The sequence below is a fragment of the Homo sapiens genome, chromosome Y (genome assembly GCF_000001405.40).
Source record: "Homo sapiens chromosome Y, GRCh38.p14 Primary Assembly".
Taxonomy (NCBI): Eukaryota; Metazoa; Chordata; class Mammalia; order Primates; family Hominidae; genus Homo; species Homo sapiens.
In genome coordinates this window covers 18,805,654-18,821,681 of record NC_000024.10, presented here as the reverse complement: position 1 = coordinate 18,821,681, position 16,028 = coordinate 18,805,654, and the positions used below count along the sequence as shown (strand labels likewise).

General features: G+C 35.1%; 1 long non-coding RNA gene and 1 pseudogene across 2 annotated transcripts in view; both read left to right on the top strand.

The window, feature by feature from the left end:
* LOC124905305 (uncharacterized) overlaps positions 1 to 16,028 on the top strand; it is a 33,859-nt gene that overhangs the window by 14,717 nt on the left and 3,114 nt on the right. Inside the window, exons 6-7 of one of the 2 annotated variants that reach the window (XR_007068458.1) lie at positions 1,896 to 2,327; positions 7,939 to 8,066. This is a non-coding gene — a long non-coding RNA (uncharacterized LOC124905305). The remainder of the gene's footprint in view (positions 1 to 1,895; positions 2,328 to 7,938; positions 8,067 to 16,028) is intronic. The other variant, XR_007068459.1, reaches the window with a different exon arrangement.
* On the top strand, positions 9,088 to 10,884 carry XKRYP2 (XK related, Y-linked pseudogene 2; annotated as a pseudogene).

Genomic DNA, 16,028 nt, shown 5'->3' with positions numbered 1-16,028 from the left:
GGGTGGCCTGTAGTCACAGTCACCCTGGAGGCTGCAGTGGAAAGATCGCTTGAGCCTGGGAGGTTGAGGCTGCAGTCAGTTCTTGATAAAGCACTGCACTCCAGCCTGGAGAACAGAGGCAGACCATGTCTCAATAAACACACAAACAACAAAGACAAGAAATTTAAAAAACAAACTATTATATTTGGCAAAAAGGGAAGCTAATTATTTTAAATATAGTACATTTGGTAGACTGTTGGGGATGAAAGCCTGACTGGTAAAGGTAAGTAGAATTTTCAAATGAGAGTGTAATATCAATGGTAAAAATATTCACCTGAAATTCAAGGTAAAATTTTAAATTTAGCAATTAGGGTGTCACTGATGACCTTTGAGAAAGGACTATGACTTCACTGTTGTGGGATAAAACTTGAGGCAGAATAAGAACTGATGGAAAGGAAATAGCTAATAGAAATTCTCTGTGCAAATTAAAGCAGAGAAAAAGGTCAGTACCAAAAGAGACAGTTTTTTTTTGTTGTGGATCATAAAATATGGAGTTTTTTATACATGTGTGATAAGGAAATCAGGGCAGTGAAGAAGAGAATAAAATTAATTATGCAAAAGAGGAAAATATCAATCATATTGATGAGTTGGGTCCAGGAGGATGTATTTTAAAATGTGATAAATGTTTTGTCTTTGAATAAATAAGTGCATATAGATAAAGGTGTGATTAGGATCAGAATAATGAACAACAGAAGTTGAGGAATTTAATACTCTGCAGCATAAAACTTAGCAAATTGGAGGAAAGCATATTTATGATAAGTTATGAGAATAAAAGCAATGCAAAGAAAGTTCAGGAAATAAACATCTTATCAAATAAAAATAAAATAGTAACTTCTTGATTCTTCCCTTCCACTTACTTAAACTACTGCTTCTATTTTTCCCATTGTTATATTTTAACAAAAGACCAATGTCTTCTGGGAAAATATTATGTTTTCTCTCTGGTAATTTGCATTAGATTCTTACACCTTTCATGCCTTTTTATTATATTAACAACCTTTTTAGTCAGAAAAAGGTTTCTGTTCCAATATTTACTTGAGTTAAAAGTCCTGTTGCCTTTTCTCTTCCTTCTTATTCATTTTTGTTTAATATTGCTTCCCACACATAATGACTAATTGACCTTGACAGTATATCAGTAATTTCTCTGGCAGTTTGTCTGCAAAGAACCTAATAAGAGCTATTTCACCCCACCCCTACCCCCCCCCAACAAAATAGAATTTGGATCTTCTATAACCATTCAAATCTGGATTTCATATCTATTTAAATTGAAACTTTTCTTGATTAATAACTTCATTAATAACTTGATTAATAACTTCATAACTTTACTTGATTAATAACTTCATAACTTCTGCATTAAATCAAGCCAAGAATCAGTATTTTAAATGAAAAATGGCCAACAACTAACAATAAGTGGTACTTAAAGGGCTCACTATTTTCTATTCCTCTCTCAATCAGAAATACCTGTTAGATACTTTTCTCAGTGTCATCATGGTTAGATTTGGCTTAGACATTGTGCCCTTTTGTTTTAGTTGATGTCAGCAGGAGACACTGGCTGAAGGTCACAAAAAGGAAACTTAGGAGAAATGTGCACCTTTTTTCTTACTACTTGAAGACAGGACTATCATCTTGGTATTAAGGGGTAGTCAATGCCTCATACAAGTTTTATTGTCTATTTCCTTTAAACAATATGTACTGAAGAAATAGTACGTCAAGTTACTGGACATATTGACTGAATTATGTCAAATGCTTTAATTGACTAAATTATGTCAAGTCATGGTTTAATATTTCTTAAACAAGACATAGATTTTTAAGTTGTGATTAGTGAGCCGTATTTACTTTTTTATATTTTCCATGAACAGTGAATTATACAGAATCTGGTTTTCTTCTGTTTGGATTTGATACTGAGCTATACTGGATTCACTGACAAGAAGAGTTTGAATTAGCAGCATGCTGAGAATGGACACAGTGTTTGAAGAGACTGATAAAGAAAGTACAGGAGGAGTTTTATTTTTGGAAGAAGAAATGGTCCTTGGGCACAGACCCCATATGAGTTTTCCTTTCAGCGTTCTCTGCTCAGCTGTTCTCTGCTGTGGTGAGGCGCCTATGCTTTGTATATGTCTGAAATTAATTGAAAAGCTAGTGACAGATTCTGATGTCATTTGCCATGAGCTTTATTATTGTGCAGGTAATTTTGGATCAAATCACCCTAACGTTTTTCAACAAAGACTTTAGAAGAAATAAAGCTGCATTACTTTTTCTTGGCGCATTCTTCCTTTAGGACCTATAGTGAGGTAAGTGACACAAATATCTCTCATTCTCTGTTTCCAAACAGTAAATAGAATATAAATAGTTCACGAACAAGATTAAGGAAGTGATAATCATCGTTCCTCTAACTGAAATGCACCCTCTGTTTAGATTTATTTACTTTTCACAATTTTGAAAATTTTCCCATGCAATTTTTATCAGTCATAAGGTAATGATAGTTTTTTAACAATGCAAATGGGATTAAGTCAGTCGTTTTTTCTGTTCCTTTTAATATTATTCTAATTCAGCCTCATGGGCATTCCAAATAGTTATGAGGGATAGAAATATAACATTAAATTAAGGGATGAGAGTAGAGTGAGAAGAGAGTATGGCTCAAAATTAATCTCATAAATTTTATTTGTCAACTGACGTGATTTAACACGTTAGTGGTAGATTTTCTAGATATCCCTAAATTTGTAGCTATGACTTGGAATATCAAAACATAGCTAGGCAGTTCATTTCCATCTGACTTCTCTCTGTTACTATGCTGATTTGCACGAGTACTGTAAATTTTGTAAGAACTAATTTCATTCAGATGTGCATTTAGAGTTCCAAGATAGTAAAATGTATAAAAATTATATACATTTTATATAATTAGGAGGCAATGGGGATAAGTGTTACCTTTCAATAAAAAGGTAAGTGCAGAAGTTTATAAACACATGCAAAAATGTGTAACCTCACGATTTAATCTTCTATGCAAATACAAATTAGTAATAGGAGGAGCAATTACTAACACTAGGAGCAATTAGTAAAAGCAAGAGCAATTAGTAACACTAGTAACACTAGCAATTAGTAACACTAGCACTAACAGATGTGCATGTAGAGTTCCAAGATAGTAAAATGTATAAAAATTATATACATTTTATATGATTAGGAGGCAATGGGGATAAGTCTTACCTTTCATCAAAAAGGTAAGTGCAGAAGTTTATAAACACATGCAAAAATATGTAACCTCACGATTTAATCTTCTATGCGAATACAAATTAGTAATAGCAGGAGCAATTAGTAACACTAGCAGGGCAATAAACATTCCTGCAAAGCCAAAGGCTTAATCTGAGTGACAATGCATGCAGTGATTCTGGACCATACTCTGGAGCTAATTTAAGTTTAATTGACTGAATCTCCTGAAAGAAAAGGACTTAGGCAGAAATAACAAAAAATGAACAACACAATAGCCAAAAAACTCAACAAATAAATAAAACTCCTGACAATATCAGAACCAATAAATCTCCATGTAGTAAAAACACACCTCATTTTGTTGCTATAGTTGTTGTTGTTTGGAGACAGAGTCTCGCTCTGTCACCCAGGCTGCAGTGCAGTGGTGTGATCTCACCCCCCTGCAGCTTCCAACTCCCAGGTTCAAGGGATTTTCCTGCCTCAGCCTCCCGAGTAGCTGGGACTACAGGTGCACACCACCACGCCTAGATAATTTTTGTGTTTTTAGTAGAGATGGGTTTTCACTATACTGGTCCGGCTGGTCTTAAGCTCCTGACCTCGTGATCCACCCACCTTGACCTCCGAAAGGGTTGGGATTACAGGTGTGTACCATCGTGCCTGGCCAACTTTTTCTTTTTTACAAGGTCAACTTATGAAATTTTATAAATTTCTTAAATTTCTTGCAATAGACCGAGCATGGTGGCTCACACCTCTAATCCCAGCACCTTGAAAGGCCGAGTCGGGTAGATCACCTGAGGTTGGCAGTTCCAGGCCAGCTTAGCTAACATAGTGAAACCCCATCTCTACTAAAAATACAAAACTAGCTGGGCGAGTGGCACGTGCCTCTAATTCCAGCTACTTCAGAGGCTGAGGCAGTGGAATCGCTTGAGCCTGGAAGGTAGAGTTTGCAATTCTGTGATCATGAGAAATGTTAAGATTACTATATGCATATATATGTGTGTGTGTATATACATATATATAGTAATCACCTACATATATATACACACAGCCACAGACATGCACACACCCACACACACACACGTGCACACACACACACACCCGTTAGCTCTGTGTATATATTCTTTTGAAAACAGAAGATACTTATTTTTAATTAGGTTATTATTTCCTTGTTCTTTTGAATCATTTTTAGTTCCTGGTATATTTTGATTAACTCCTTGTCTGATGTACAGTTTGCAAATATTTTCTCTCATTCTATCACTCTGGTGATTTATTTTATTTTATTTTCATTTTTGCTGTATGGAAGTTTTCTAGTATAATGTAACCTCATTTTTCTGCCTGTGTGTTTTTTGCTTGTGCTTTTGAAGTCTTATCCAAAAAACATTCCTGCCCAGACCAACGTCATTAAATGTGTTTTGTGATTTATTCAACTAGTTTGACAGTTTTGTGTTTTCATTACATCTTTATTTTTAAATGTTTTTTAAAATATATTCTTATAGGTGAGGTCTCACTATATTACCTAGTGTGGAGTACAGTGGCATAAGTGTTTCATGCTACAGCTTTCGACACCTAGGCTCAGGTGATCCTCGCATCTGAGACTCCTGAGTAGCTGAAACTACAGGGGCACACCACTGCAGTAGGCTTTTTAATCCGTGTGAGTTAATTTTTGTACGTGGTGAGAAATAGGGTTTTAATTATATTCTTTTGCATGTAGCTCTCTTGTTTTCCCAGCACCACTTATGGAAGAGATTGACATTTTCTCATTTTGTGTTCTTGGCACCTCTGAGGAATATCAGTTGGCTATACAGGTGTAAATTTATTTTTGTTCACTGTGTTCTATTGTATTGGTTTATAGCATTGTGACATCTCCAGTTCTGTGGGTTCACTCCCCAACCGCACTGCCATCTTCACGATTGCTTTGACTATTCAGGGTTTTTGTGTGTGTGTGTTTGTGGTTTTGTATTAATTTAGGATTTTTTCAATTTCTGTGAAAAATGCGATTGGTGTTTTGATAGAGATTGCATTCTATCTGTGCACTGCTTTGGCTCATATAAACATTTTAACCATATTACTTTTTCCAATCAACGAACATAGAAACATAGATATATTTTCATTTAGTTATGTCATTTTAACATTTTATTAATGTTTCATAGTTTTCAGAATGCAGATTTTTTTACCTCCTTGCTTAAATTTACTCCTTTTTATCCCCCATAGCTATTGTAAATGAGATTGTTTTCTGAAGTTTTTTTTTTAATACATACTTTGCTATTAGTGCATGGAAATGCTATGGAATTTTATATGTTGATTTCATAAACGGAAACGTTACTGACTTTCAGAATTAGTTCTAACTACTTTTTAGTGGTATGTTTAAGGATTCCCTTATATGTCATTAGCATATATGGACAATTTTACTTCTGCCTTTCCAACTTGGGTGACTTTTCTCACTTTCTCTTGACTAATTTATCTAGTTAATGACTTTCGGTTTTATGTTACTATAAGTAGTGAAAGTGAACATCCTGGTCTTCTTTCAGATCTTCACAGCAAAGCTTTCAATTTTAACTCTCACTGACTGTGATACTAGCTAAGGGTTCATCATATATAGTGTTATCTGGTTATTTGGGTCTATGTCATTTGTTGTGTTGAGTTACAGTTGTTCCACGCATGATTTATTAAGAGATTTTATTGTGAAAAATGTCGAATTTTGTCATTTTTTTCATATATCGAAATGAATGCATAGACTTTGTTCTTTATTTTGTTGATGTAATCTATGACATTTAATAATTCTCGTGTATTAAACCATTCCTGCATCCCTGTAATCTCGTTTGATCACGGTGAATGATTTTCCAAATGTGCATTATAAGTCATTTTCCCAGTATTGTGTTGAGGATTTTTGCATTATGTTTATTAGATATAGTGGCCCATAGTTTTCTCTTTTTTCTTGTATCCTTGTCTGGTTTAGTAATCAGCGTAATGCCGTCCCCATGGAATGAGTTGGAACGGTTCCCATATCTTCCTTTTTTCTTTTATGTTTTTGTTTTCACTAGGTTAAAAAAAAGTGGCAGTAGTTTCCTTTTTGTGGTAGGTAGAATGCAGCAGTGAACACATCAGGTCCTGGGCTTATCTTTAACAGGTGACTTTTTACAGCTGATTCGATTTCTTACCATTAATTTATTTCTTGGTGTCAGTTATGGTATCTCTTTTTTGGCTCTGATTTTCTTTATTAGGGGCTTTGTTTTTTTTTTACTTTTAAGTTTAGCTTTTTGTTTTTCTGATTCCTTGATTGAAACATCAAGTTGTGTATTTGATATCTTGTTTTACATGAAGGCATTTATTGCCATAACTTCCCTCTTAAAACTGCTTTGGTTGTTTCCCACAGGTTTTGCGGTGTTGTGTTTCTATTTTTGACTCAAGAAACACGGTGTTTTATCCTTATTGTCTTCATTGATTCACTGGTTGTTCAGGAGTATGTTGTTTAATTTTGATATACTTATGATTTAGTGATTTCGGAAGAGATACTTGATATGACTTTGATCTTTTCAAATTTGTTAAGATGTGACTTTTTTTGCCTAATGTATGACGTATCCTGGAAGATCTTCCATGTTTGCAGTGGAGAAGAATGTTTATTTTATAGCTCTTGGATGGATAGTTCAGTAGCTGTTTTTAGCATTTGCCCTACTCGGCATTTTAATCCAATGCTTACTTATTGAATTCAGTCTGCATTATCTATTCTTTGCAGAGAGTAAGGTGCTGAAGTTTTCTATTATTATCTTGCACTTTTTATCTGTCTTTGGATCTATTAACATTTGTATTATATATATGCATATATTACTTATATACTTGCATTCTTGAAATAATATTTTCTTTTCTTTCTCCTGCTTAATTCTGTATCCTCTCTTTGACTTTGATATTTGGTGGTTAGGTTATATTAAGTCATGCAGATATTTTTATTGATATTGAATATGATTGGAAGCCCTTGATATTCCTGTAGCAGAATATTTATATTTCTATGTAAGTTTGGAAAGGTTTCTCATTATTTCTCTAAATAAGCTTTCTACTCTTTTTTATACATTTTTTTGTTGAGATGGAGGTTTGCTCTTGTCTCAGGTTGGAGTGCAATGGTGTGATTGTGACTCACTGCAACTTCCAAGTCCTGGGTTCCAGAGATTCTCCTGAGTTCAAGTGATTCTCCAAACTCAGCCTTCTGAGTAGCTGGGGTTACAGATGTCCACCAATATAACTGGCTAATTTTGGTATTTTAATAGAGAAACAGTTTCACCATGTAGCCAGGCTGCTCTCAGGCTCTTGGCAACATGTGATCCTCCCACCTTGGCCTCCCAAAGTGCTGGGAATACAGGCATGAGCCATTGTGCCCAGCTCTACCACACTCTTGAATGCTAGTGTCTGATACCTTTGCTGTTTGGATGTTATCCCATTAATCTCATGAATCTTATTTATATTTGCTCCTCTGACTGTGTACTTTGAATTGACCTATCTTTGAGTTTTGCTGCTTGACCATTTCTGTTGGCATTGCTGTCAACTGCATTTTTTATTTTGTGGTGTTTTATTCTTCAAGATTTTTGTTTGTTTTTTTCTCCCATTATTTTAACCTCTCAGGTAAGTTTCTCTGATAAATTTCAGAATCCTTTGTGTTTTCCTGAAGTCCACTGCATTGTCTTAAAATAATTATTTTGAATTCCTTGTCAGGCAATGTGTCCATGCCCGTCTCTTGTGGGTCAGTCACCACTGACACCTTATTTTGACCACTCGATGCCATCATCTTTCTCTCATCGATCCTAATCCTTGGGACTACGCATCAATGTCTGCACAGTGATGTAGGTGCCTAATTCAATGTTCATGGTTTGGCTGTGTTTGGAAGCTTTCTTCCACGGTAAGCCTGTCCAGAGATTCAGGGCAAGGAGAAGAAGGAAATTAAGGTGTTTAAGTCTAAGATAGCTTCAGCCCTGGTAGCACTAGGGGAAACACTAATGAGCAGACTTTCATGGTTGGTGTAATTTGACCGGCAAAGCTGAGTCAATGCCAGGCTCCATCTGTAGCACACAGTTGAGCAATGGGTGCACTCAAGGTCTGTAGCTTCCATGGTCTGCCCTGTGTCGTTTATTTGGTGCCTGAAGTTACTGCAGTCAATCAACAGGAATATTGACAGGAACTGAAGTCCATTCTGCTGAGGTCATAGTTTCTGATCTGTTGCCGGGGTTGGTCTATAAGGTTAACCCTGAGTATCAGCCTCCTAAAGTGCTGGGGTCAGGGGAAAGGGATATAAAAGTCCCAAGGCAAAAAAGCTCTATGCCTACTACCTTTGCACAAGCAATCCTCCCACCTCTGCCTCCTGAATAGTTGAGATACAGGCATGTGCCTCCATGCCTCCCTAACATTTTTTTGTGTATTTCCTTGTTGTTACTGTTGTTCTTTGTTGTTGTTGTTGTTGTTGTTGTTGTTGTTGCTGTTGTTGTTGGGCTCAAGTGATCTACTCACCTCAGCCTCCTAAAGTGCTAGGATTACAGTATGAGTCACTATACCCAGCTAAAATTACTTTCTAAGACTTAATTTTTAGGTCATTTATTTTTATTCAGTCTTATTTCTCATAAATACAGTTCAGAATGTTATTGCTTTAGAGTTTCTCTTTGGGTATTCCTGAAGGAATAAATGGACTGTTGATATTCATTTTCTAAATGGTGTTATAAAATGAGTAATTACTTTAGGTAAGTGATGACTATTTGGCCTCTTTTTGTTTTCTAGCTTCATTTCATTGTGTATGAAGAGTGTATTTTTTTAACCCACCTGCATATGTGAAATGAAGTTTTACTCTTTCAACTGAATGTAGTACAGAATTGTTTAAACTGATTATTCAACTACTTCATAATTTTGGTTTTCTTTCTTGTGCATATTCGTCTAATTATTCGCAGAACAATGTCAAAATTAAATTAATTTGCTTATGAAAAATTTTTCTGATAAAATTACATACATACATGCAAACAAAAGCACATACACATGTAACACTTAATTTCTAAAACTTTTAGTTTTTCTTCTTCTCTAGTACCTGGTATTCCATCACTCAGCAAAATCTGTTCAGTTCTACTTCCAGGATTTACTTTAACTCCACAGCTTATTTCCTACTTTCTGTTATCACCATAATCTAAAACACAGTTTATATTACATTTGCCTCCTATTTTACTCTGTAATTTCTTACTTTACACTCTAACTTTCTATAAAAAAGAAGCTACATTTTCAAGGTCTAATTCAGGTAATTTGATTTTTTCTTTGTTGAGAAATCTTTCTATGTGCTGTCACACCTTATAGCATCAGATATGAATGTATCTATCTAATTTCATCTGTTCCAGCTATTTTCTTTGAGGGAATATGTATAGAAGTTTATAAATATGAATATATATGTATTCCCTTATTATTTGTTTTTCCCAGGAGTAATATATGTTTTGCATGCATAGATTTACTAAATCCCTGATAATGGAAAGTTAGCACTTTTTTTTTGTTTCTTTTAAGTCAATTATTTTCTGAAGGAGGTGGGTTGGGAGGCATATATGTTAACATGTCAAGTTTAAAAGAGAAAGTGGCCATTACTAATACAAATTATTCTCTAACATTTTCATATTTACCGTTAATAGCATCGCTGATTATATGTTCCCTCTTATCAGTTGTGTATGGGGCCATTCACCGCAACATACTAGCAATCCACACCTGCAACAACTTTGCTGCCATTAAGCTATGGGTAATAAAATTCATCTTTGTCATGATATGGCATTCCTTGGTGACTATCTCACGTGTAGTGACTCTGGCATTTTTCCCTGCATCTCTGAAACTGAGGACCCTACACTTTCTATTAATCATATATTTTGTATTATTTTTGGCATCATGGCCGGAGATTTGGAAAACTGGAGTTCATTTTCATAGCAACACAGAAAATAATTCCAGCATGGCGGGTACAGTATGGATGCTTATCTTAACCATGCTAGTATAAGCTGCCATCAACTTCTCTGCTGGTCATCAGTTAAGCTGCAGCTGTCAAATAAGAAAATAATTGACAAGAGACAGAGGTGGACCACACAATCCAACACTGCAGCTTTCCGGTTTTAGAAAATGTGATAATAATATTGGTATTTTGGTTCTTTGGAGGGAAAATTTTACTGAAGCCTTGCGACTCATTAATTGCCATGTAGCTCATCATAACCTACCTATTAGCCATTGGCTTTATGCTCCTCTTCTGTCAGTGTCTGCATCCAAGGTGATCAGACAAAGTATTGCCAGGACATACAGAAAATCATCCAGAAGCACTGTGATATTGTGTAAACATCTAGAGAAAACTCAAAAGAATAAAAATAAGCAGCTGAGGAATTACTGTCATTCATGGAGAAGGGTTGGATGTTATCAATAAAAAGTATGCAATATCCATAAAATATACATATATACTTTCACAGAACAAAGAGTAAAGAGGCTGGATATGACTTTATAAAGATACTCATAAAAATATAAACAGCAAAGTCTTGGAAGTAGTTTCTAATAAAATTGATTTTTCTCCTGTTACTATGCATTAGCAATTTTTATTTTCTTCAATATAATTGTACAAATTTTTAAACAAAACAAAACAAAATCAAAAATCCCTCTGGGTCCAAAATCTGGGCAGAAAAAAAACCCATAATGCATTTTTCACCTGGTACACTTTTGGAACATGTGCCTTTAATTTAACAAGTGTTTGTAATCTAGCATATACATTATCAGCGAATATTTTCTTTTCAGAAAGAGTACTTACCATAGTTTTCATTCTGTACTTAAGGAGAACCTGAAAGAGAAGTCTTATGAGCATGCTCCTACTTATATTAATTTAAGGTAACCAAAGTGTTTCTCATTAAACTGACTAACAGAAAACCACTCATATTAATGCATCTTAAAGCACAAAACCTGTTCTCTTAAAAATAAATCATCAGGTTAATAACGTAATATATTAATTTACATTCCTACCAATAGTGCACAAGCATTCTCTGTGCCCTACATTCTCAAAAACACTTGTCGTTTTTCATCTTGATAGTAATGGCCATTCCAACATGTGTGAAAGCAGGTCTCATTGTTGGTTTCAATTTGCATTTCCCTGATGGTGGTGTTGAGCATCTTTAAACATGCAGTTGTTCAGAAATTAGCCGGGTGAAGTAGCACACACCTATAATCCCAGCTACTAGGGAGGCTGAGGCAGAATTGCTGGAAACCAGTGGGTGGAGATTCAGTGAGCTGAGATCACATCACTGCACTCCAGCCTGGATGACAGAGTGAGAATCCATCTCAAATCAATCAATTAATCAATATTTAATTTAGAGTTGTTTGCTAGTTGTATGTCTTCTTTTGAGAAATGTAAATTCAGGTCCTCTGTCCATATTTCATAGGCTTAATTTTTGTTGTTGTTGTTGTTAAGTGGCTTGAGTTCCTTGTATGTATTTATTATTCACCTTTTATCATGTATGTGGTTTGCAGATATTTTCTCCAAGTGTTTTAGTTGTCTCTTCAATCTATTTGTTTCCCTTTTCCCTTTGCAGTGCAGAAACATTTCAGTTTGATGTAATATGATCCAATTGTTTTTTGTTGTGCTTTTGTAGCCTGTGCTTTTGGGGTCATAGAATTGAGGTTTCAAAAATAAAGTTAAATTAAACATAGAATTACCACATGATCCAGCTACTCTACTTCAAAATATGTGCTCAAAGCATATAAAATTAGCATGTCAAAGAGATAGCTGCAGTCCTATATTCATCTCAGCGTTATTCATAATAGCCAAGATACAGTAACAACCCAAGGGCTCATCAACAGATCGACAGATAAAGTGTGGCACATATATACAATGAGATATACTACACAGCCTTAAAAACAGGAGGAAGTCCTGTTACTTATTTGTGACCAAGTGAATGGAAATGGAAGATATTATGCTCAGTGTAATAAGAGAGGCACAGAAAGACAAGTATAGGGTGATCACAATTATATATAAAAAAGTTGAACTCATTCAAACAGTGAATATGTCAGATATGGTGGCTCATGCCTGTAACTCCAGCATCTTAGGAGGATGAGATGGTTGGATCACTTGGGGTCAGAAGTTTGAGGACCCAGTGAGCCATACTTGTGCCACTGTACTCCAGCCTTGGCAATGCAGCACGGCCCTGACTCTAAACAAACACGGAAAAAAAGAGTCCGAGATTGGAGTGAGGGGTGGTGATAGGAGTGGATAGAGAAAGGGGAGATGTTCATCAAAGGGTAAAATATTTCAGTGAGAAAGGAAGGAGTTCTGGAGATCCACTGCACAGAATGGTGACCACAGTTAATAAGTCAACTTCAAAGTTGCTTAATAAAGAAAAGGGCAGGCATGTTGGCTCATGTCTGAAATCCAGGCACTTTGAACGCCTATGGTGGGAGGATCACTAGAGGTCAGGAGTTCGAGACCATCCTGGCCAAAATGAGGAAACACTGTCTCTACTGAACATACAAGAATTAGCCAGGTTTGGTGGCATGCGTATGTCATCCCAGCTACTCGAGTAGCTGAGCAAGAGAAAAACTTCAACTCGGGAGACAGAGGTTGAATTCTATCTCAGACAAATAGGTTGTTTAAAAAGTAGTATTTATATATTCTTACCACAAGAAAGAAATGGTAAGTATGTGAGGTGATAGATATGGTAACTAGCCCAATTTAATTCTTTTGCAACATATACATGCATTATAAAATCAGTTTGTGTCCCATAAATATTTACATTTGTTAATTTAAAATAAAAATTGTAAAAGAATGAATTATAATTAAAATAAAATGGGCTTAATGTATATAGACAGTAATATATGCTAAAGGTTTCTTCTATTTTGACTATTTGGATTCTGTTATTTCTTGGGGAAACAATCACAGTGGGAAGGGATGAAGAACGCTAAAGCTTAATGTTATATAATTTACATTATTTTGTTGTTGTTTTCTCCTTTTTTTTTTTTGTTTTCTACCAACCAATGGAGACTACTTTCTTATTCACACTTTCTTTTGTGTTTCTTTCTCATGAGAAATCACCACCAACAATAAAGCTCCTGTAGATTTGTGTATTATTTTTCTGCTCCTATCTATGACTCTCTTCACCTGTCCTTTGGATTTCAGAACTTCTTAAAAGACTGATTTACTTATTATTTGTTATCTCTCTGTACCATTACTTCTTCACTCTACCTACAGGATCATTATCCTTACTCTTTTATTTTAGTTTAGTTTAATTTTTTTTGAAGACGGAGTCTCTGGCACAATCTCAGCTCACTGCAACCTTAGCCTCCCAGATTCAGGTGATTCTCCTGCCTCAGCCTCCTGAGTATCTGATGTTAGAGGCATGTACTGCCATGCTTGGCTAAATTTTGAATTTTTAATTGTGATGGGGTTTCACTGTGTTGCCAAGGCTGGTCTTGAACAAACCTCGAGTGACCCACCACCTCAGCTTCCCAAAGTGCTGGAAGTACAGGTGTGAGCCACCAAACCAGGCTTGATCATTTTCTTTACTAGATCTACATGCTGTTAGTCTTAGTCCTAGATACGGCACTCTCAACTCATTTGTTTATTTGCCGTGATAACAAGACTCATGGAAAGAGTTTGCCCTGACAAGGTTTAATTTTATTTCTCTTAACCCTCTTTTCTTCAGGCATTTACCCTGTTTTTTAGAATCATATCTTATACTTGTCACTAAATCCCATATTTCACTTGTCTGTTGCATATTACTCAAGCAGTCATGTGTATCTACAGAACTGATTCACACCCTCATTCCTGAAATACTATTTTGCTTTGGATTACATGACTCAACTTACCTCTGATTTCTCTATTTAACTTTACGTGCCCTGTCTTTCATTTTATCTCATAGATGTCTGTTCATGAGACCACTAAGGTAACTACACAGAATACCTCTTCCTCCTTCCCTTGCTCATTTCCCTTTTCCCTTCCTTTTTTCTTTTCTTTCCTTAAGAAAATGTTCACCCAGCCTGGAGTGCAGTAGTGAGACCTGGACTGACTACAGCCTCAAATTCCTGGGCTCAAGAAATCTTCCTGCATTTGTCTCCACAGTAGCTGAGACTACAGATGCACACCACCACACCTGGCTTTTTATTGATGTTGTTTTGAGACAAAAGCCTCTTCTGTTTTAAACTTGTAGTTCTAATGAATTCAACCAGTGTTATGACCTTTGGATTCCTATACATTATGCTTTTATTTTTTTACAAGCACCCCAAGATTAAGATAGCTAAATTGATAACTTCCCCTGAACTTCTTTACACTTTCTACATGCCTCTCTCTTCCATCACTATCTTGTCTAAAAATACATCATCTGTATAACATAAAAACTGAGGTATTCCAAATATATTATTTTCCCTCATATCTTTCATATTTTATCTACAATAACTTTTTTATTATATACCACTTACAAATTTTTTTTCTTGTTGCTGTTTATACATTCCAGTTGAGGTCATCATTCATTGTTCCCTAAATGATAGTATCAACATCTTAATTTATTTCCTACTTCAACTGATTTCTCACTGAGGGTCTAGAATTATTCTTCTTTTCAATGGATAAAACACATCTCTTTTCTTTTTCTTTCTATTCTTCTTCCTTTCTGCTTTACTATTAACTGTTATTGTATACAGTGAGGAGCTATTTCAGTGTTATTTACTATTATATCCACCATTTTAAGCTAAAATTCAGAGATATAATAACTTCTCTATAAGTGCTTAATATTATAGTAAAAAATGCAACTTTGTAATTTCAGTGTTAAATATTTGAATACCACGTCTATAGATTATTTATGAAACAAGATTTCAGTTGAGTTGCAGATAAGCTTATGTTAATTTTTTATTCACTCCTTCCATTTCTATCCATCCTAGCTATAAGACATTTAGAGGTGGGAACTTGGCATACTCTTCCCTATACTTGAGAGCCTGTTGAAGTCACATGAATAACGAAATGTACACTGACCATTTAATTCATATAACTAAATATAAATATTTTATATTTAAAATGTATTGAAAAGTTTTTATTGCTTAAATTTATTATGACAGCTATTATTTAGATTTTTCATTATTTAAAACTCAAACAATACAGGAAACAAACATGTAGGGAAATCTCAAGTAATTCATTATTTATTGTTCTTTTTATCACAGAAGACACAAGCCATCTCCTTACTGGTTAGGGCCATATTATCCAGAACCGTCAGAACATTTCACTTTTCATTTCCCATTGAAATCTGAGGAGTGTGTTTTGAACTCTATAGTGAAATGCCTACAACTACCCAGTGTAACTCTGTCTTCTTAGGAGGGTATGATTCTGCAAGATGAATATGATAATGTCCTAAAATATCACCCTTACATTTAATTATATAAAACACCACTAATGCAATAATAATACATGAGCTGAACGTTACATAGTCTAATTATAAAGTTAATTTTTACACTCAAATAGTTGAGTTAGAGACTGTGAGATTAAACTGGTGGAAGATGGAACTTAATTTTTTGTAACAACTACCATACCGTGGTGAAATGAATTAACTGAGCTCTTAATAATTTGGAAAATAATAAAGTTATATCTATTAAAATTACTAACAAAAACGTACATTTCTTAACTGTTTCTTATTATGTGAAAGACAGAATGGCTCTCGTGATAATGATGGAAGCAGCCTGAAATAAAATCTAACAAAACAGTCTGGACATGATGGCTCATGCCTGTAATCCCAGCACTTTGGGAGGCTGAGGCAGGTGGATGACTTCAGGTCAAGAGTTTGAGACTAGCC